General features: G+C 39.4%; 1 protein-coding gene across 1 annotated transcript in view, besides 1 other annotated feature; it reads left to right on the forward strand.

The window, feature by feature from the left end:
- Nucleotides 1-2,104: 2,104 nt before the first annotated feature.
- SCGN (secretagogin, EF-hand calcium binding protein) overlaps nucleotides 2,105-21,723 on the forward strand; it is a 49,569-nt gene continuing 29,950 nt past the window's right edge. The window contains exons 1-6 of the mRNA NM_006998.4: nucleotides 2,105-2,375; nucleotides 3,272-3,342; nucleotides 11,442-11,534; nucleotides 14,833-14,922; nucleotides 19,401-19,457; nucleotides 19,889-19,966. Coding sequence (NP_008929.2) covers nucleotides 2,294-2,375; nucleotides 3,272-3,342; nucleotides 11,442-11,534; nucleotides 14,833-14,922; nucleotides 19,401-19,457; nucleotides 19,889-19,966 — 471 coding nt within the window. The 5' untranslated portion in view covers nucleotides 2,105-2,293. The remainder of the gene's footprint in view (nucleotides 2,376-3,271; nucleotides 3,343-11,441; nucleotides 11,535-14,832; nucleotides 14,923-19,400; nucleotides 19,458-19,888; nucleotides 19,967-21,723) is intronic.
- Nucleotides 10,094-11,293: an enhancer, noted in NCBI's record as "MED14-independent group 3 enhancer chr6:25660432-25661631 (GRCh37/hg19 assembly coordinates)". NCBI's record gives its function as "activates an origin of replication core promoter dependent on BRD2, BRD4, P300/CBP and CDK7 cofactors, and independent of MED14, by STARR-seq in HCT116 cells {active_cell/tissue: HCT116}" and the evidence as "EXISTENCE:reporter gene assay evidence [ECO:0000049][PMID:35650434]".

A 21,723-nucleotide genomic window follows, 5' to 3' on the forward strand; every position in this document is an offset into this window, starting at 1 on the left:
TAATGTATATCTTCCATGTTTTCTATGTGTAGAAACATGTATTTTATTTTACAGAATTGAGTCATCATATATGTACACTTTTGTAACTTGCTTTTTAATCTTAACCTTATGTTTTGAGTTTTCTGGATCATCAAGCTTCAAAATCAAGATTTCTGTGTATGCAGCAAAGCCCATCATAGATATTTACTATCATTTATTTAACCATCCCTCCACATTAGATCTTGATTATTACTTCTGAAATCTGCCTTGTTTTATCTTTTTCCACTATTTATCAGAAAACAAGATCAGCCCTGGTGGGTTCATACCAATTACTTTTCCTAACTGGTGCTTGACATTGTATCCACTAATTTCCTAAAGTCACAGATGATAATTACAGATACTGAACCCTTACACCCTCCTATGCTACATATGCTTTTCTCCAATTTTTGTAACCAGCACTTGCTTAATCGGTGATAATACTGCTTTTCTTCCTTTAGGCTAAGCCACACTCCTCAAAAATCCTGAAGTTTACTTCACCGTCTTCCAAATATGTATGTATGTATGGAAGATTCATCATTTTAGTAGCTAACTTACACTGAATGTTACTGTATATACTGTGACAATAGGTTTATATGATTTTTTAATTTGACCTTTATGATAATAACACGGGGTAAATACTACTATTATTCCCATTTTACAAAGAAAGTGAGGCTTCTTTTGAGTAACTTGCCCAATATCACACACAACTAGTAAGAGGCAAAGCTGGGCCCTGAACCCAGAACTGTTTTCTTCTGAACCATTTTTTTCATTATTATTAACTAAAGTCCGTGTTTATTAAAATTTTCTTAATTTTTACCTAATGGCCTTTTTCTGTTCCGGCATCACACCCAGGATAAAACATTACATTTCTTTGTCATTTTTCATTAGGTTCCTCTTGGCTATGACAATCTCTTAGACTTTACTTGTTTTCTCTAACAGAGTCATCCCTCATCAGCTACAACACCATAGCAGATATAATTCATTGTGCATTACTATGTATGGTTCTGATCCTCACAGCAACCCTCCAAAACAGATGTTTTAATCCTCATTTTATAGATAAGAAAATTGAGGCTTAGGGAGATGAGAACTAATGGTGCAGTTCACAAAGCTGGTAAATAATGGAACTCAGATCCTGACCCAGGACTATCTGACCTTGAGTGTCATGTTCTTTTCACTACTCTGGTTTAGATGACTTATACATGCATGCTTTTTATAAATAAATCTGAATGCTAAAACCAGAGTCAGGGTGCCATAAAGAAAAGTTACATCTGGTTCAACTTTCTTATCTAATATCCAAGCACTTTCTATAGATTATCCAACGAAAATTTCTAAATATATAGTCAAAAGGTATCAGTGTAGTTTGTACACGTTTCCACAAAGCCTTGCCCAATTTTGAACAGTCCTGATTGTTAGAAAGCTCTGTGTTCCTCCAACTGATTTTTATCCTTTGGTCTTAATGTGGCTCTTAGGAGCCAAACACAATCATCTAAGCCTTCTACCTAAGTACCCTGCAGGCAGACACATCTCCCCCAGACTCTCTTTTCCTGGCAGAGTACGGCTTAGTTTATATTTTCCTCAGCATCCTAATGATGCTACTTTAAATCACAGTGACTTGCAGTATCCCTGTTTAGTTGCAAGTCCTTATAGTGCATTTTGGTACAGCAATGTGTATGTCCTATACAATCAGGACTCAATAATTGCTGTTGACTTCTTCCTTAAAGGGAACCACTTACCACCATCACCATCCCTTCTCGCCTCCCCTCTCCACACACTACATTTCTAAATCCTCAAGTCCAAAGGACCCTAACACTGACACTTCTTGCAACCCTTTAAATGAGGCAGCTCTCCCTAGAAAACCCCTTGAGACACAAGTTTGGAAAGTGAGTCAAACGTAAGAGGGATGTCTTCTCCGAGTCTGAGAAGCAAGTTAAAGGGCAAAAGCAGTGAGCCGTGGACGCCTGGAGACAGTTTCTTTCTTCCTGAATTCCCCAAAGCGCAGAGACAGACAGGATCTGCCAGGACAGCGCGCAGGGCGGGGCGGGGACAGGCGCGCCAGGAGCGGGGCGGGCTTCCAGCCGCTGGTTTTGCTGAGGGCTGAGGGACGGCTCAGCGACGCCACGGCCAGCAGCGCTCGCGTCCTCCCCAGCAACAGTTACTCAAAGCTAATCAGATAGCGAAAGAAGCAGGAGAGCAAGTCAAGAAATACGGTGAAGGAGTCCTTCCCAAAGTTGTCTAGGTCCTTCCGCGCCGGTGCCTGGTCTTCGTCGTCAACACCATGGACAGCTCCCGGGAACCGACTCTGGGGCGCTTGGACGCCGCTGGCTTCTGGCAGGTCTGGCAGCGCTTTGATGCGGATGGTGAGTAGAACAAGCCACTTGCACACTCAGGTGTAGACGTGGCTCCAAGCTCAGCCCGCTGAAAGGACCTGGAGTTTCCCCTTTACTGTAGGAAAAGTTATCGACCTGGGTTGTTAATGCAGTGTACCTAATACAGTATCATTAACAGACGTTTGGCATACTGGTGATACACATCTATATACCTTGTTAAAATTCTGGGTGGTGAATTTCCACTTTCCCCTTTCCAATCTCTCTTTGTGTGCGAGCGCGCCATATATATGGTAGACATACATATATATTGTATATACAATGACTAATATCATTGTATATGTTCAAGGCTTGTGGGCTGAGACTCAGCTATTTGAAGTCATCCTTCCCTAAATGGGCTCACTTTTACGCAGTGACTTTGCTGTACACCCCTCACTCTCTCAAAATGAGAATAAATTTTATCAGCTTTCAAAACGACTCCTCCACCAAAAAACTACTTGAAAATAAAATGGAACTACTTAATATTTGTTTTTATTAATAAAGAAATAAAATATCTAAAAGGTGTGTTTTAACTCTGCAAACTGGGATTCAATACTTACACCTGTTAAGTTTCTCCAAGCTTCAGAAATTTTGGGGTTAAATTTTATTGGAAAGTTCACGTTTATTCATTGATTAAAATTCATGTACTTAATAGCCTTCCTTTTCCAAGCACTAATATAAACCCTAGCATAAAGCACGTATTCTGGAACAGTGTTTACTGTTCAAACCCATGTATTCTAGAGGTAGGTGTTGGCACTTTGTTATTGGAATAACAAAAAATAGTGTTGAGGGAAGCTTTATGAATTGTGAGATTAAAAACATATTTAGATAAATACTGTCATGTGTTTTTTATATGTTAGTATTATTTATGTTTATTTTCTCACATTTAGAAAAAGGTTACATAGAAGAGAAGGAACTCGATGCTTTCTTTCTCCACATGTTGATGAAACTGGGTACTGATGTAAGTACTTGCACACTAAGCCTTAATTTATGCCTCTTAGTAAGATACGCACATCCAAGTCTTATATTGATTGGTACCTATTAATTCCAACTCACCTCCTTTCTTCCTTGCATGTATGTAATTTCTCCCCCTCTCCTAGCAACATAGAGGGATTTAGGCAGTTTTTATAAAAGGTGCAACTGTAGCATTAGACATGCTGGTTACTGACTTTCAGTGTAACATCTGTCATCCACTCAGAGATCCTAACTGTAGACTCAGTTAACTTGGTCTTGAACGTCTCCTTGGTTATGTCTCTGCTAATTGATTTATACCTGGGGGTAAAGTAGCCCACTTTGTTCAAAAAGCTGGAAAAGATGTTAAGCACATTAAGATTTTGGGTGTTTAATATGTATGATACTCCTCTGATAGCAAACCACAAACCATTTAAAATCATTTATCCATTATTCATTTTATTAGAAGAGGTTACAGATTTTTCAGGGAATGACAAACCAGAAAACAACCAGCATACTCAGAGCCCAGATACAAATGGAAGCCAATCTATCTAGTGTCCATCTGATGGTAAATATGTCCTTGGGAGATGTAAATGAACTCTTGAAAGTCTCTCTATCAAAGCAGAGAAAAATTTTACACAGAAACACATGAGCGGAGGACAGCCTGGGGATGGGCTCGATCTGATGAAAGCTCCAGTAGGGCATTCATAGTAGAAGGAGACGCTCTAGGGACAATTGAATTTAAATGAATGATGGAGATAGTTTGTCCTTATCATTCAGCTGTTTATCTGAAGAATAGAAGTGCATCACATTCTCATGTGAGAGCTCAGTGAGGGAACAAGGAGCTCTTCACCACTGTTGAGAACATGGGGAGGGTATGTGGGGGGCAGGGGAAGCTGGTTCAGAAACAAAAGGGCTGGCTTCCGCCTTCTTCAGCCACACAGATCTCTTGGTCCCCCTCTACTTCTGTCTGCCTCTCATATTCTGTCTGTCTCTCTTTTTTATGTCTATCTCTGTCATTTTTCTGCTCACTTCTGTTTCTTATCTCTGTGTTTCATGGCTCTCATCTCCTACTGTTTCTTGCCTTTCTCTCTGACCTCTCTGTTGCCCATCTTTCTTGTCTCTGTTTCTCATTTGTTTCTCCATCTCTCTGTCTCTGTGTTTTCCCATTCTTTTTCCAGTCTCTCTGCTTCTCAAAGCTCTTTTGGTCTTTCCTCTCCCCATGTCTTTTATTTCTCCTTTCTTCTTTCTTTCCCATCTCTCTTTTTGACCTTCATTTCTTTTCTCCACATTTTCTCCTTCACCCTTTTCTTTGTCTCTTATCTCCCTTTTTCTGTACCTTTTATTGCTCTTTGTCTGCCTGCACTCCACCCCTTACCCTGTGCAGCCTGTGAAGTGAAAGGATCAGCAGACGAGAAGGATAGAGACACAAGTCCCTTCTTTCCTCTGGTCAGACCACTTGCGCACACTCCTCTTTATCCTTCATTCTTGTACCTACACAAGCTACAGGTAGAGCTGAGGAAGCCTCCCCCAAGTGAGGCTTCTGCTTCAATCTAGCCAGCCACTTTCACGTGCTAGCAGCCCATGGTGAAGCCCACCAGCCTTGCCCACAGGGCTTCTACTTATATCTGTAAATGTAAGGTTCATCGTGTTCCAGAAACCCATCTTATCTATCATGGACATGGGTATTTGAGGAAAGCAAAAAGACAAAGTTAAAACCATTCAAAATCTTGGAATAAATGGGATGGCCAGCTCCTAAAAATCTGTCCTCAGGGACCTGGAACTTCTCACCTTTTCAGAGGGCTCCTTGTTCTAGTCATTTATAAAAGGGAGGAGAAAAATTGCTGTCACTGTTGAAGCTGGAGTATCTAATATTCATTCATCGAGTTGGGGTCTGCACTAAGATGAGGATGCTGTGAGATATCTTCATCTGAGATTTTGGCTAACCTTAGAAGCATTGTTGCCATTGTGAGAGAAAAGAGGGATGTCATCTCTTGCAGCTTGGCTGTTTTTATCATTGCCCCTATCTCAGACCTGGTCCATGGACTAATGCTCTTACACAGGGGCAAGCATAATCCTCGAGGAAAGAGGACAGCAAAGGACTCACTGGTGTCCTGCGCAACTGCATTCAGTGCAAATATCTCTGAGGCTGGAACGGGGGTTGGAAGTTCTCATAATCCTTAACCTAGTGCAAATCAAATTTCAGTATGCCTGAGAATTATATTTTTTTGTTAAAATGCAGACCCCTAGGTCTCATCCTGTAGGTATTTAAATACATTTGGGGTCTGCCAAAGATCTTTCATTTTAAAAGCACTCAAAGTCAGTTAGCATGTTTTTTTACCCTTTTTTCCTCTAGGAACAGTGACTTTTGGAGAGGGGATTCTGATATAATTAGGCCAATCCCACTGAGCTGTGGCAATAGCCTCAGGCACATCTCATGAGCACTTGGCTGGGAAGAAAGCTTTTGGAGCCAGGATGATAAGTTTGAACTCTTAACTAGAAATGATATCATCTGCCATTGGATGCCTTTCAAAACGCTGAGGCATTACTCTGGGGAGTGTGTTTGCAGGGACTTTCACTGGGCACTCCATGCTACCTGGACAACCATGATTAAGGAAGCTATTCCTAATTTTGGGTTTTGTCTCTGATGAGTAATAAGTAGGCCTTAAGCAAGTTCTTAACAATAGGGCAGGACTTCCAAAATGGAAGGCCCTTCAGTTGAGGAACAGTCACCATTTGATTGTGACACCTGCTTTTGATTGGTAATGCCCAGTGAGTACAGAATCCAGCAGCAGGGAGGCCTCCACAATCAGGCAGCCCCTTGCTCTGGTGTTCAGCAGTGGTAAGCCAACCTTCAGAGGCATGAATAGCTCTACTTTCCTCTGATGATTAGCGGATCACAGAGATCTCAGAAGAAGGTATTTTGAGGTTTCTAACAGCAAGCTGCCTGCTAGTCTATCCAGGAGAGCAACCAGCCTGCTTGTAATTACCTATTCCTCAGAGCCTCGGAGGGGATTGACTTAATGGAACCATCAGCTGCAATTGCTGCTGTTTCTGTTACTCCCTGCAAACCTTTTCTTTCCAAATGCTGAGATTTTAGCCAGTTCATGGATAAACATCAGATTCTATGTGTACATACCCCTCACATACAGACTGTACCACATCCTGGGCCTCTTTCAATACTTCAGGGATTATAGTACCCTGCTGTAGCCTAGCGTCTCAGATAAGGACTGATGGGAAATTACAACAGAGGAAGCCCCAGTTTCTTTTGCTTTAGGTCAAAGGGATAGTCATGAGCTTTGGGGTTAGGGGTCTGAGAAGACAGAAGCCAAGATTCTGTGTCCTCAAACTAAAGGTAATGTAGAATCTGGCCACTGTTACTTTGACTTCACATTTATTTACTTTAAAATCTAATTTTTCACCAACATGACCTATGTTAGTTAACTTCCTTTGGGAATTCCCAGCCCATCATAAAGAATCATTTATTCATCCAATGGATCCTGTGTTCCAGAGATAAAGAAATGAATGTTATACTTGTGGAGTTCTTAATCTAAAAGATCAAGCTGAATTTCAAAGTGAAGTTCGACCCTGTTGAGTGATTTCCATTGTGCTTTTCCTGTATGGTACATGAACCCTCAAATGTAAGCACACACAAAATCTTTAGTGCTGAAACTAGACAGGTTAATCCCACCACGATTAGTGGGGTATCACATGAGGTAACCTGGTTGACAGAAGAACCTGGAGTCTCAAAGAACCTGTTCACCTTCCACAGAGAATAAAAAAAATGTACCTATTGTCTCTGAAGACCCACTCCAAAGAAGACTCATGGTCGGTGGGGAAAGGACAACTATGTGTGGAGGCAGAAATCCAATGCTCATTCCCTGTCTCTCCATCTAGAGCTGTGTGATAGCAACATGCCATTTAAACCTCCTGGGTCTCAATTTTCCTATCCATAAAATAATAATTATTAGAATAATGTTTTGGCCTGCCTGTTTCACAGTGAAGACCCATAAGATAACACAAGTGAAAGGTGCTTTTAGTTGCAAAAGCACCCAACATATATGTTCTTATGCTGACGCAATATCTTCTTGGGTCCTTAGTTTTCCCAGTGTTTATTCTATGCCCCACTTTGCCTCAGATCCACCAAGGGGTTATCCCACACAGGATCATTGAAGCTTACTCTCTTAAACACTGAAATGCTTTTAAGATTTTATATATATATATAATATATATATTACGTGTATATATATATGTGTATGTGTGTGTGTGCATATATATATGATTTCCAGTTTATGAGAGCAAGTTTTCCAAGCTAGGGTAGCCTTTGGAGGATGCCTTAAGTCATACTCACCACCACTCTTTGGTCCTTCATGAGTAAAGGAGGCTACTCAAAGGAAGACAGAAGACAGACTGTCACCTCAGGGACCTGTTAGACTTGCTCTGTCTTAGACAAATGATACAGGCATTATCTCTCATTTCTTCACTTGATGCTTTGGTTCCAAATCACTAATGTATTTTTTCACATTTTTAGTCTGGTGTGTGTTCATTTAGAAAGGTATCCTTTTTTTTTTTTTTTTTTTTTTTTTTTTTTTTTTTTTTTTTTTTTTTTTTTTTTGAGAGGGAGTGTCGCTTTGTTGCCCAGGCTGGAGTGCAGTGGTGCGATCTTGGCTCATTGCAACCTCCGCCTCACGGGTTCAAGCTATTCTCCTGCCTCAGCCTCCCGAGTAGCTGGGACTACAGGCACGTGCCACCACGGATGGCTAATTTTTTGTATTTTTAATGGAGACGGGGTTTCACCATGTTAGCCAGCATGGTCTCAATCTCCTGCCCTCGTGATCCACCCACCTGAGCCTCCCAAAGTGCTGGGATTACAGGCATGAGACACCATGCCCATCTGGTATTCATTTTTTTTTTTAACTAGACCCTTCACTGTTCCCCATTTATAATCACCATATGAGTATGTTTGGTTGATGTTGACAGAGTCAGACTGTCTAAGTCCTCTTATTTTAATCATTTTGGGTTTCTAAATACAGGACCAAAGCCAGAGGTATAGCAGATGACCTTGATATGGCTAGGATGCACAGATCCATTTGACTGATACATCATCTCAATCACAAATGCTACTGGTTTGGGTTTATAATTTTAAAGAATAGCTATACATATAGATGCTATTTTTTAGTTCTTGTTCATATAACTTTAATTTTTTCACAAAGAGACTCACCTTCACTGCAATTTATTTCAAATAAAGTTTATTCCTCATTATTTATTATCCATTTGGGAACTATACAAACCATTAATTCATTAACCTCTTTCTGTTGCATGCATTTCATCTATTTATCATCATTTGCAGCAAAAAAGCAACAAGTGAAAAAAAAGGAAGTACAATTCTATCTTTATACTTGCTGACAAAAGTTTGTGTATGATTGAACAGGGAAGAGGCAAACTACTGACTGACATGAAACTTGGCAGTTCCCTATATATCCAGTATCCACACCAATCCTGGAAGTTTAGAGAATCAGATATTAGAGGATCCAATAGCTTAAATCCTGTCAGCTCACAGCATCTTTTCTACCTCACTATTATAACCCGACATCAAACATTTGCTATGCACCCACCTCCTGCAATGAGTTGGTACGATGGATGACAATTATCAGGGGCTGAGGTCTAGCATAATGCCCAGGAACTTCCCTAGCATTAAAATTGTTTTTGCTGACCAAAGTGTTCCCTGGTTTTCTAAGAATATGCTTTCAAACCTTCAGGGTCTTATAATATCTAAAGCTTGTGGTTATCTAACTAGTTGCCAGAACCCATCCTGAAAAATCCCCAAAGCAAGTCATCAAGCTGTCCTTGCATTTTGTTTGAACCATCTAATTTATTAACGACTTAATGTTGGAATGCAATGACTCCATTAGGTGTTCTCTGCCTCATCTCAACCAACAACAAGGTGCGGTGGAAAGTGCACTAGACCAGATATCAAATATGCTGGTTTCAAGATTGTTCTGCCAGTATTCAGCTGCATCACCCTTCTGGCCTGTTTTCTCCATCAGTAAAATGAAAGGGTAGTGTCTCAGATTCTTAGAAAGGGTGCCAAACATCCTCTGATTTTTTTTCTTCTTTATTCTTTTGCTTCTAAATCACAAAGACTAATCTGAAGGAATCATACGTTTTGATTTATAGTTGCAGCAATGGATAAAATTATCATGAATTTGAGTATTAGTCTTCATATGTTAAGATCTGGAAGGTAGAGAGTTTGTACTACTTTTCTACTAGATTTTCTACTCACTGGAAAACATTTGCCATATGCTGTCTTCCCTGGGTTTTATGCCTGAGAGCAACATGTTGTGCCAGGCTAAAGTGTTTTAGGACGTTTTGTTCTAGGAAGGACTAAAACAGAGCATGGGTTGTTCTGGCAAGTTCTTTGCCATATGCAAGAGGTCAACTGAAAAGATGACAGCCTGATGGGAAGAGGTGAGGACTGACAGCCCCTCCGAGTCAAGACTACAAAAAAAACAGAAACATTTTCTCAGCCAGTGATGGGAAAATGATAAAGGAGAATTTCCATGTAAGAAGCTGGAGCACAAAAGAAAAAAACAAGGTCCCCAAAGAGGAAGAAGCTAGCAGGCCAGCAAGGAAGCCAGGGGCTAAAGGTTATAGTACATTTTTTTCTGCCTCCCAGGGCCGTTGTGAAGATCCAGGGAGATAATATTTGTTAAAGAGCATGGCTTAGTGCCCATCCTCTGGCTGGCAGTCCAAAAATGTTTATTCACCTGCTCTTCTTTCCTATTCTTAGCAACTGGATGTGGCAGCTGTTAATTCCCCACCACAATTCTCTTTCCACCGTCTCCTCTTTTCTTTGTAACCCATTAGGGAGAGGTCTCAGTGGAAAGGAAGGCTGGACAAAGATGCCTTCCACCAGCCTGTGATGGAGGGCAAAGACCAGGTCTCTTTTGCTGACTATAATATCACCAGGGGCCAGAATTGTGTTTGGCACATGGTAGGTGCTTGACAGAAAGCAGTCTTTTCTGGGTTTTATACCTGAAAGCAACATGTTGTGGTGGGCTAAAGTGTTTTAGGACATCTTGCACCTGGGTTGTTCTGGCAAGTTCTTCCTTATCTCAGGATGTTGCATTACCAGCACATGCTGGGGTTATTCTTGAGAAATACAAGTGAGAAAGGCAGAAGAACTGAGTTAGCCCAAGGCCACCCAGAGAACTGTCCTGTACACATGTGCATGGATGATGCATCCAGAGAGTGTGCTGAAGGCTGAGTCACCTCCACCCCCAACACCAACAGGGAGGATAATGAGTCAACAGGATTACCTCTTCTCAGCCCTTCTAACTTACAGCTGGAGGGCTTGGGACAAGAGACAGCATGATAGTATTAGGGAGAATGAGTTTAGCATAAATTTCAGCAAGTCTAGAATCTTACAATTGGGCACTGTTTGGGATTATCTATGCTTCTCAACCCTTGCATCAGAATTCATTCTTTATTGTTGGTTACATATGTCACTTTTACTGTAGTAACCATAAAATCCACCAAAGAAGACAATTAAGGTTCTACATAGAAGGGAGTTGTAACATCTTTGGTTAACTCGGCAATTACCTTATTACTTTGGTCTCCTCTTTAATTATTTCTCCCTTCTCATTATGTTTTTTTCCTCAGAGAATACAAAAGAAGATTAAAAATGAGTTACAGACACCTGGGGGCCCAGAAGAACTGGACTTTTCAGTTAAAAAATGTAAAATCTCTGAGTTATTGGGAAGAAAATCTGTAATTACAATACAGTCTTTTGTCACAACCAAATACAACACTGTTCAAATTTGTTCTTTCAGCACCCTAGTCTCTAAGCTTCTTTTCATCAATATTTTAGTAACTCATTAACTGTAAATTGTACCTAGTCAAGATTCTGATTAGTGCTTGGTTGCTCAAGAAATCTCCAGCATTGCTCTCTCTTCTACAAAAGGGTAAAATCACTTTAAATGGTCAAGGAACCTGCTTTCCATGTTTGAAAAACATAATTTTCACGCTGTATATTTTGAATATTTGCCATCCTAACTATATCTTTGAGATTCCAGTGGCTTTAATGTGGCTCTGTTTGGTCAATTGCAGGACACGGTCATGAAAGCAAATTTGCACAAGGTGAAACAGCAGTTTATGACTACCCAAGATGCCTCTAAAGATGGTCGCATTCGGATGAAAGAGGTAACTTTACTGACAGTATTTTTCATGGCTCTACTCTTCTTGACTGTTTTTTTCTTTACTTTATCGTCTTGGGCTGTAATATTCTTTGAAAGACAATGGAAACTTTACATTTGATCAGGAAATTAGAGATTTCTGAAAGGCAGTTGGCCTAGATAGCATTTTAAAAGTAATCACCTCTCCTTTTTCATCTACTTAGTAACAAAGAGTGTGCAATTCTTTTATCATTTTATTTAGGTCAATCAATATTTGTACCTGTTTTATAATTTGGGAATTGAAATGATAGAGGCCTTTCAATTACTTGATCTACTATTTGTCTCTTTATACAGTGTCCTGTTCAAATTGAACATTGATATAAGGAAAAACTTACTGATAATAAATAAGGTTAAACTTCAGCATCAGCTCCCAGTGCAGGTGGGAAAGATCTATCCCTAAGATTATTAAAAGCACGACAGACAATAGGTGTCTTTACTTCAACTCAACCCACTTTTATGGAGCACATACTAAAGCATGTAACTATACTACATGTGTAGGGCTGTGGGGATGGTCTACAACTTACCTGATCATTTCTCCTTCCAGTTACAAAAATGTTTACAGTTTAGAAAGGACTTCCACATATATTTTGTTATTGTATTCCCATAGTAGTTAAGATGATGATAGGCATGAAACATTATCCCTATTTTGCTGATAAGGACTTGAGTTACTTTCCTAGAATAACATGACCAAATAAGTGGTAATGGTTTTAATGGAACCCTGCTTATAGATATGAATCTATACAGGTTCATACTATGTAGCTATAAATCTGTATGTGAAAATGAGTCAATCTGAAACTAAGATATTTTTTCATAGTCAAAATTGCCTGTTAGACATATTACCTAACACTGGGAGAGCTAGTCTCTTGATGCTGTGACACTGCCATATTTGAGCAGTCAATATTATTGAAGAAAATAATAGGATAATTTCTTCAGGAAGTTATGTTAATAGGGCAGGATAATGTCCCTTTATAAAAAGTGGGCGTGTTCACCAGGAGACTGCCTTTTCAGAAAACTAATAAACTAAACTCTAGATTTATGAGTGTAGCTGTTTCCAAACTTTTAATCAAAGGCAAAATTGTATATGTAACCAAAAATTCTCATTATACTGGATGTAAAAGTATCAATGTATGTATCAACAGAACAGTAAATGCAAACAGCAAGTTAGGTGCACTAAACAAAATATTCATAACTACATGTTCACTGTTGTAATTTTCCAGAACCTGGAACAGAGCATAGCACATAGTAGTGCTCAGTATTTCTTGACCTAATTAACGAATGAGAAAAACATAGCAAATAACTGAAAACTATGTCATTATCTTACTAACAACAGATAGACATTCCCAAGTAATTGGCCAACCATTTTGTCTTGTAATCCTGCACGTGAGTGTCATTGAGGTTGTTGTTTGTACAAAAACTGATGGTGCAAGACTGCATCGTTCCCAAGGCGCCTTAAAACGCAATGAGTCTGTGAGTCTAAGGAGCAGCAAGGCCTTTTGTTTCCCCTACATTCCCTTGCTGTACCATTGACCATTTCACTTACTCCAATTACAGGTAGTCGTGACATAAAAATCAGCCCACTTTGACTCATGTTGGATTTTCTAGCAAAAAACAAGATGGGAAAAAGGCCACCCTTAGTCTCAAAGGGCAGTTCCCAGTTCCAGTTGACCCTGTGTAGGTTGATGGGAAAAGCATGAAGTCAATATGGTGGAATATGAAACCTTAGGCAAGTTACTTAATTTCTCTGAGCTCAATTTTATCATCTTTACCAACATGGCAGTTATCATTTGTTGACTAATTGATATGTATGAGGTATGTTCCTAAACAATTTATAAATACTGGCTCATCTTACTTTTAGTCTTCCCATCAGGACCAGGATATCAATATTATTATCTCCATTTTCCAAATGAGGAAACTGAGGCACAGATATATTAACTAAATTACCTAAGATCAAATACTTAGTAAGTAATGGAGAAGAAATTTAATTTCACTCTAAAGCCTATAACACATTGAACTGCACTGCCTCCCATTGATAAAAAGGGGATATTTATACTCATCCTGAAAAACTGGTGTGAGGACTTAATGAGATGATAAATCAAAAGCACCTTGCTGGTACCTGCCATGTAGCAGGCACTCAACATCTGATAGTTATTGTTAACATGGTGTGTCCTTGAGCTGACCCATATCCAATTAGAAAATATGAATGAGAATGTGAGCTAATTACACCTAAATCCCTTCTGGAGCATTTGCTGTGGACTCACTCTGTGGTATTGTACAAGACACTGAGCAAACTACTCAGTTATAGAAGAAATGACAATTGTTTATGGGAACAGCTCAGAAAGAAGACAACATACACTACAATACTCTAGGTTTGGCAATGAACACAGCCAAACCTGAAAAAAAGTATTATAACTACATAGGGGAATAAGGTATTATTATAACTTTGTTCAAGGGAGTGCATGAAGTAAATCAGTCAAACTGGTGCTCATGTAAAAAAGCTGATTGGTTGAATTCATCATACTTGAGTCAACTGTTGTAGTATCTTATAGACACTAATAATGTAAAAGAATATAAACCATAGCTAACACTCAAGTATCAAGCCAGGCAGCAGTCATTCCTGCTTTTGCACTGAAATATTGTATGTATACAACATCTTACCAGCAAACCACAGTGATTAAAAGTGTGGGCTTGAGATCGCCAAGCTGAAATATTGACTTCATCACACACTAATTACAAAACTTTGGCAAGTTCCTTATCTCTGTATAGACCAGTTTCCTCAACTAGAAAATAACAGTAATGGTATGTGTGTACCCTATAGATTGTCATTAGGATTAAATGAATTAGCATACACAAGCATTTAGAATAATGCATGGCAAACATAAGCATTATTTGCTATTTTTATTTTCTGTTATTATGGAATTAAATTAATTTAGTATTGGAAGTTCTTAGAATAGTGCCTGGAACATATCAAGCACTTAACAAATTTATTGTTGATATTAATGTTATAGTCATCATTATTTTAGATTTTAAGCTCATTGAAGGCAGATATCCATAGTGATTTATACTTAGTAGGAGTGTGTTACTTTCTGAAAGAATCAATGAATCAAAGAATGTCAATCAAGAGCACAGAACTGCAAACCGAGCTGTTCATCCTGGAAGATCTGAGCCCTTCTGCCCTGGAATATGCACCACCATGCCTTTTACCAGGGAGCACTCTTGAAATGGACACTGGCCAGTGTCCCTGACTGTTATTCTTTCTGTTCCTTCAGCTTGCTGGTATGTTCTTATCTGAGGATGAAAACTTTCTTCTGCTCTTTCGCCGGGAAAACCCACTGGACAGCAGCGTGGAGTTTATGCAGGTGAGTGCTTGGTTGTGTCTCTGTGAAGAAAGAGGACTGAGACAAGGCTACGATCTTAGCCACCTGCTGTGGCTGCCACCACTCCTGCCCAGTGCTCAAGGGAGAGCTGAGCACAGAGGATAAGACCAAGCAAAAAATGCCTTAGTGATGAGGACTTTGGTCCCAAACCCCAGTGTTCGCTCAGTATTGTCCTGGGGTGCTCCTGAGCTGACAGGCTCCTTTAATTTGGGCTGGAGGAAACTTTAGACAAGAGGCCAGGCAGGTACACTGAAGAATGGAGAGGGAGGGGAGGTGGGGGACTATGGAAATTGGAGAGCATGTGCCCCATCTGAAGCCAATATCCCTATGTAGCTTCAGCCTTTTGAGAATGCTATCTAGGAATCTAGACTCTAGAAAATAGCAGCAACTAATTTTAGTTTTGAAGGCATGATGATACAGTCAAAACAATTCATTAGAGTGCTGGTCCAGCTAGTGGGCCTTCTGTTTATAACCATGGGAGAGTAAAAGTTAAAGGCGGTATCAATGGCCTCTCTTACCGCTTTCCCTCTGGGCTACCCCCTCGCTCAGCCTCTCAGTGTTACTGCTCTGTTGGTGAAAAACAACCAGGGAAGGGCAGATAAGGGTTTCCCCAAGGCCAGAGCAGCAGATTCAAGACAGCCACTGTATCCGGGACCCCACACTGGAAATAGTTACCATGTCCCCATTTAGGAGATAAAAAGTTTTGCATAGGCAATTCACAGAAGAAATTCTGAATGGACCATGAATTTATGCCAGTAACTCAGGAAATGCACATTAAGAAAATGATTTTTTTTTAAGCAAAATGGCAAAGATTTTAAGAAAATCCACAAAAATATGCAATACTTTCAAGGAAGCCCAGAGATTGTCACTGACGTTCTGTTGGTAGGCATACATTGTAGAATAATTTTATGGAAAGTAATTTTGGAAAAATTCAGTCAGGATCCTTTAAAATTTCATTATCCACAGTTATTTATTTATTTATTTATTTATTTAAAAAACTTTGTCCTGGCTGGGTGTGGTGGCTCACGCCTATAATTCCAGCACTCTGGGAGTCTGAGGTGGGCGAGTCACCTGAGGTCAGGAGTTCAAAGGCAGCCTGGCCAACACTGTGAAACCCCATCTCTACTAAAAAAAAAAAAAAAAAAAAATACAAAAACTAGCCGGGCATGGTGGTGGGCACCTGTAATCCCAGCTACTCGGGAGGCGTAGGGTGGAGAATCACTTGAACCCAGGAGGCGGAGTTGTAGTGAGCATAGATCGCACCATTGCACTCCAGCCTCAGTGACAAGAGGGAAACTCGGTCTCAAAAAAAAACAAAAATTCTACTTTTTCAGGCATCTATTTTATGGTTAAAATCAGATGTAGACAAAAGTTTTCTGTACAATGATGTTCATATAATGTTGCATCGTCACTTATAGTTCAAACTGAAAATAACATAAATGTCTAACAATAATGGAAAAGTTAGTTATGATATATTCATATAATTCATTCATTCTACAAATTCTTAAGAGCACCCTAATATGCAAGGCACTGTTCTAGGTGCTGCAGATTCATTAGAGAAAAACTCCGGTATTGAACATTATTAATCACTGAAGATCAAGTTTTCAAAAAATATTTAATGACATGAAGGAAATGCTATACAATGTTAAGAAACAAAATTGTATATGGAATTTGATCTTAACTTTGTTTAAAAGTTGTTTACCCTAAAGCCTGAATAAATAAAATATAGGTAAGAATACACAAAAAATATTGGTTGTTTGTAAGTGGTAGGATTTCAGGTGATTTTATTCTTTGTACTTTTGTATTTTCCAATTCTGTATAAAGTCATAATTATTTAAAATTTATTTTAAATGACATTTTCAAAACGATTCTAATTGTGTTTAAAAACACTCAGATAACATTTTTAATAAAAATAACAAATAGACTGCCCAAGTGTATAGACAATATGACCCCCAATTCTGTTTTTTAGTGTATGTTGTAGAAACATGATAGAAATGAAACACACAGAAACAATAAGTAATTATCTCAGGATAGGAGTTTCTGGAGATTATACATTTTTTCTTTTTGTATTTCATTAATTTTGTACAGTGAACATGATATCAGAAAAAAAATCATGAATATAGAAAAATAGTATTAAAATGTTAGGCCTAGTGTAGTCTTGAAAGACCTTGAGAAGTGGGAAAATCACATGGCCCTATGGAGGCTTCTTATCTTATCTTTTTTTTAAATTCCACTTTTCCTGCCTTTGTAGTTTGTCAATTTTATCTGTAAAGAAGAGCTTTCCCTTTCTGTACCCAACTTTTAAAACTATCATTGTGAATTCTTGAATTTGTTTTTTAAAATTAACTGTCTTATATCCCATTACAGTCTACATATTTGAAGAAATTCTAAGTTAATGTCTTTACTTTTCCCCTGAACCACAGGGTCTTAACACACTATAACTCTTACCCACCAGCTCATGTGCCATTATTGTCCAGAATATTAGTTCTATCTTGTTTTCTTTAACCCCACAAATTTTATGCAGTCAAGATTTGTTTCAATTTGCCCATGTGTCACCACATGTCATATTGCTACCATTGTCTTTGTTCGCCATTCCTTTTTGTATGTCTTAGATTTCCTTCATCCTGTTCCTTCTTCTTCCTAGAGTATATCCTTTACCGGGAGTCTGCTGGTAATAAACTCTGCTTCTGTTTGTCTGGAAATGTCTTTACTTTGTCTTTATTCTTTAAAGATAGGCTTATTGAATAGTCACATAAAAATCTTTGGCTCTCCAATGGCTCAGCTGTAGTAAAACTACACAATAATTTAAATGGAAATTGATTGGAGAATGGCACTTAAAAAGCATGCAAAAAATTTTTAAAATTATTTGAAATTCTCATAGTTTTGGCATATTCATACGATAAAAGATATAAATCACATGTAACTCACTGATTTTGTAACTGGACTAAATTCAGACATAAATGACAGGTTCTGGAAGGAGTGATGTTTCTGAATTGTTGTTACTAAATATCAGCATCAGTGTCAACACAGCATCAGTATCAACACCTCCTACTATTCCTGCAGAGTCTGAGCTCAGGACGCTGATTGTGGTTAATAATTAAGGTCCTTGCAATTGGTAACACAGAACACAGTCATCCCATTTAGGATCTAAGAAAAATCTGTCAGTGAAAAAAAAAAAAAACTTACTGTAACCTTTCATTTTGTACAAGAGTTAATGAGCTTGCCAATTGATGTGAGGCTTGTCCATGGAATAATCAGAGGTGGGGAGAGTAAGAGCATTTATTAAATAAAACAGTTCAGTGCTTTCTTCAAAGAGTGTCAGCTGTTCTGTGTTCTGGTTCGTAACTGCTTCTTCAGCTGGATGAATGCTGGCCTCACACTAATAAGAGGAGTAGCTTATAACTGGGAATTAGAGTTATTTTATCCCCTCCATCAGAGACAAGACCACACAGGCAAGATTTCTTAGAGGACTTTTCTGCAGTGTAATTTTTTAAAGTTCATCTTTCATTCAGATTTTAGTTTTGAAGTTTTAGTTTAAAGCAGGCACCTCAATCTAATTTTCCACCTGTGTGGGTCCCATGATTTATTCCCTGTCTACCACATGTGCAGTTTTCTCATAAAACTGCAGGCTTTGTTGCCAGGGACAGGCAGACATACTTGGGACAGGCTTTGGTTTCAGTCCTACATTACCACTCTGAGTTTATGCTTTCCCATCATGTCGGGTCTCTTAGAAGTCCTTTCACTTTCTTGCGATCTATGCTATGTAATTAAAAGTTATTGGCCGGGCGCAGTGGCTCACGCCTGTAATCCCAGCACTTTGGGAGGCCGAGGCGGGCGGATCACAAGGTCAGCAGATCGAGACCATCCTGGCTAACACGGTGAAACCCCATCTCTACTAAAAATACCAAAAATTAGCCAGGCGTGGTGGTGGGTGCCTGTAGTCCCAGCTATTAGGGAGGCTGAGGCAGGAGAATGGCGTGAACCCGGGAGGCGGAGCTTGCAGTGAGCCGAGATCGCGCCACTGCAGTCCAGCCTGGGCGACAGAGCGAGACTCCGTCTCAAAAAAAAAAAAAAAATCTGTTTTCATAGGATGCTGCATTTTTAGGTATTTAGTACTGAGGAGGCTTCTTAGTTTGTCATATTGCCCCAAATTGAAGTTCATCCCTTTTTATATTTCCATTCTGAGCTTTCCAAAAGGACACTTTTGATGAAAGCCCACTCAATGGGCTTTCACTGAAACCATTGTGGCCCTCCTTAAGTGGCTCCAAGTGAATGCAGTGATCCATTTCTGGTGGATTGTGCCCAAAATTGCTCTCACCAAAGAAAGCCTAAAGTTTCCATCAAAAGTGGAATTTCCATTCAGTTAAGTACTGTTTTCAGATGCTGAACTGTAGTAGATACCACATAATTATTCCAAGTTATCTGAGGATAAATTAATTAGTGACTTTTGTGTATTTCAGATTTGGCGCAAATATGACGCTGACAGCAGTGGCTTTATATCAGCTGCTGAGCTCCGCGTGAGTGTCACTGGGTGAAGGGTGGGTTTGTTTATCATTGGGAATTTGATATGTGTGTATCATGAGTTTGATTTCTGTGGGCCCAAGAAAGATGTATTTGAATATGTGACTCAAAAAATACATACATATGTACATATATGTATATATTTTCATTTTTAAAAGGTTTAGAAAGTGCAAGTCACATTGCTCTCTCTGGAAAAGAAGCATAATTGAGCATTTATGATAACTTTTTCACGCTGGAGCTATTCCCTGGGTCCCGTGAGCTCCCTATAAACAGTGACAGCCCTCCATTCTTGGATTTATTGCTTGCTAAAAGCATTTTATTTCCTCCTGGAAACAAGCAACTCACAATTCTTGAAATAAGGCCTTTTAAGACCTTTGCAGTTTATTTGCTCACTATATAAAGTATGATTCTTCTCTTGGCGCCACAGAACTTCCTCCGAGACCTCTTTCTTCACCACAAAAAGGCCATTTCTGAGGCTAAACTGGAAGAATACACTGGCACCATGGTAAGTAATGAGTAATGTAATCTCCATGAGGGCAGCTCCCCCACTCCCTCCCCAGACCCCAGAAACAGTGTCTGCTAGAGAGTTCGTCCTTGAGAAATTGAAGACTAAATGAATGCAAGAGGAAACCTCAACTCTGAAAAATACTGGCTAAAACTGAACTGTTTTAGCCTCTCTCTTGTGACCAGGTTGCATCTATTTGAGAGAGAAAGCTGTTCACCAGTCTGTGGGGAAACCTGAAAAGTTCAGTCAACATTAGGTTTCTAAGCATCAGGCCAATAACCTCAATGTTAATTGAAGTCACATGGAAACAAGTAAACATGGACTTAGACAATCAGGACCAAACAGATGGAAGCTGCCTCTCACCACAGTGGATGATTCTCCTCATTTAGCATGTTGATTTAGTGCAGTTGGAGAGTCAGATAGATGAAGGATGCATGTCCTACCTCTGCCACTTACTAGCTATGATGTAAGAAAACTGTCAAGCCTCTCAACTTTATTTACTTCTCCTATAAAATGGGGACGAATAACACCTAATTCCTGTGAGGGAAAATGTGTTAATGCATATGAAGCACTTGCATACTGTCCAGAATATAATGAGTTAGCTCTTATTGCAGTAGTTGTCATTATTTCCTGTTCCCCTCATGTCATCCTTGTTCCAAGTGACCTTGAGACTATTTTTGTGTCAAGCTCCATGGAGAGTAGTAAAGTAGGGAGCTGCCTTTGGCGAACTCATCCTCATGTTCTGTTTCAACACCTAACTCGATGCATTTCTCCCAGTACTTATCAATGATTTGTATTGAACTGCATCTGGCTCCTCTGTCTTTTCTCCTCCCCTATTCCTTTCTCATCCCTACGTGAGTGCTTCATTCCTATCAAAATCTTCAGGTTTCTTAATTAGTAAGCAAGGAAATTTGCTGACAAAGCCTTAATTACTTGTAGGATTGTTATATTTATTATATAAAGAGTTATTGAGCAGAATCACCTCATTGAGCCTTATGGTGAAGTCAGGGATACATATTACTGAGAAGAGTTTGTTAAAATGTGTACCACCAGGTTGACATATTTAGGCTTTTAATTGGTGTTTCCAAATACTATATTATGTCTAACAACTTCTCTACAGTGTTGCTATTGTTCACGCAATTTTATGTATCTGATGACTAAGGCTTAGAAAGGGTAAGTGACTAAGTCACCACCAGGTTGCGTTCTTAAGCTCATTTTAAAGATCAGATAACTAAGAAAAAGCGTTCCATAGCTAAAAGCATCTGTTAAGCTGGAAGCTAAGCTCCCCTGGTTTTCAGCCCTGGAGACTTCTCTGCTTTCCCTCTGTACTCTGCTCTGAATGTGCCCCCAGTCAAGTGAGTCTCCGCTGGGAAGAAGGCAAGTGCTCTTGACCCTGGTAACTTGTAATTGGCCTAGACAGGAGAAAACAAATGCCAAGGAGAGAATCAAATCTCAGGACAGGATCTCAATTAAGGAAATTATTCAGCTTCTTACGGTGTTGATTTGTTTTAATAGCATGCAAAATGGTGTTGGAAATCCTGAGTAAATATGTGCTCAGCACCAAAGGTCGAAGTGGGAAATCCCCCAGCAGTGGGAAGCAGTTTCCCAGCTACAGGAGGGTCTCTAGGTTCCTTTTGACCTAAGCTCCAGTGAAGCCCTCTAATAGAATGAGTACTATGAAAAAGAAAATTAGACAGAAACTGCCTGGGGTACAGAACAATAAGGAGGTGGTTTTTCTAGTTCAGCATATTTTTAAC

This window comes from Homo sapiens, chromosome 6 (assembly GCF_000001405.40).
Source record: "Homo sapiens chromosome 6, GRCh38.p14 Primary Assembly".
Classification (NCBI taxonomy): Eukaryota; Metazoa; Chordata; class Mammalia; order Primates; family Hominidae; genus Homo; species Homo sapiens.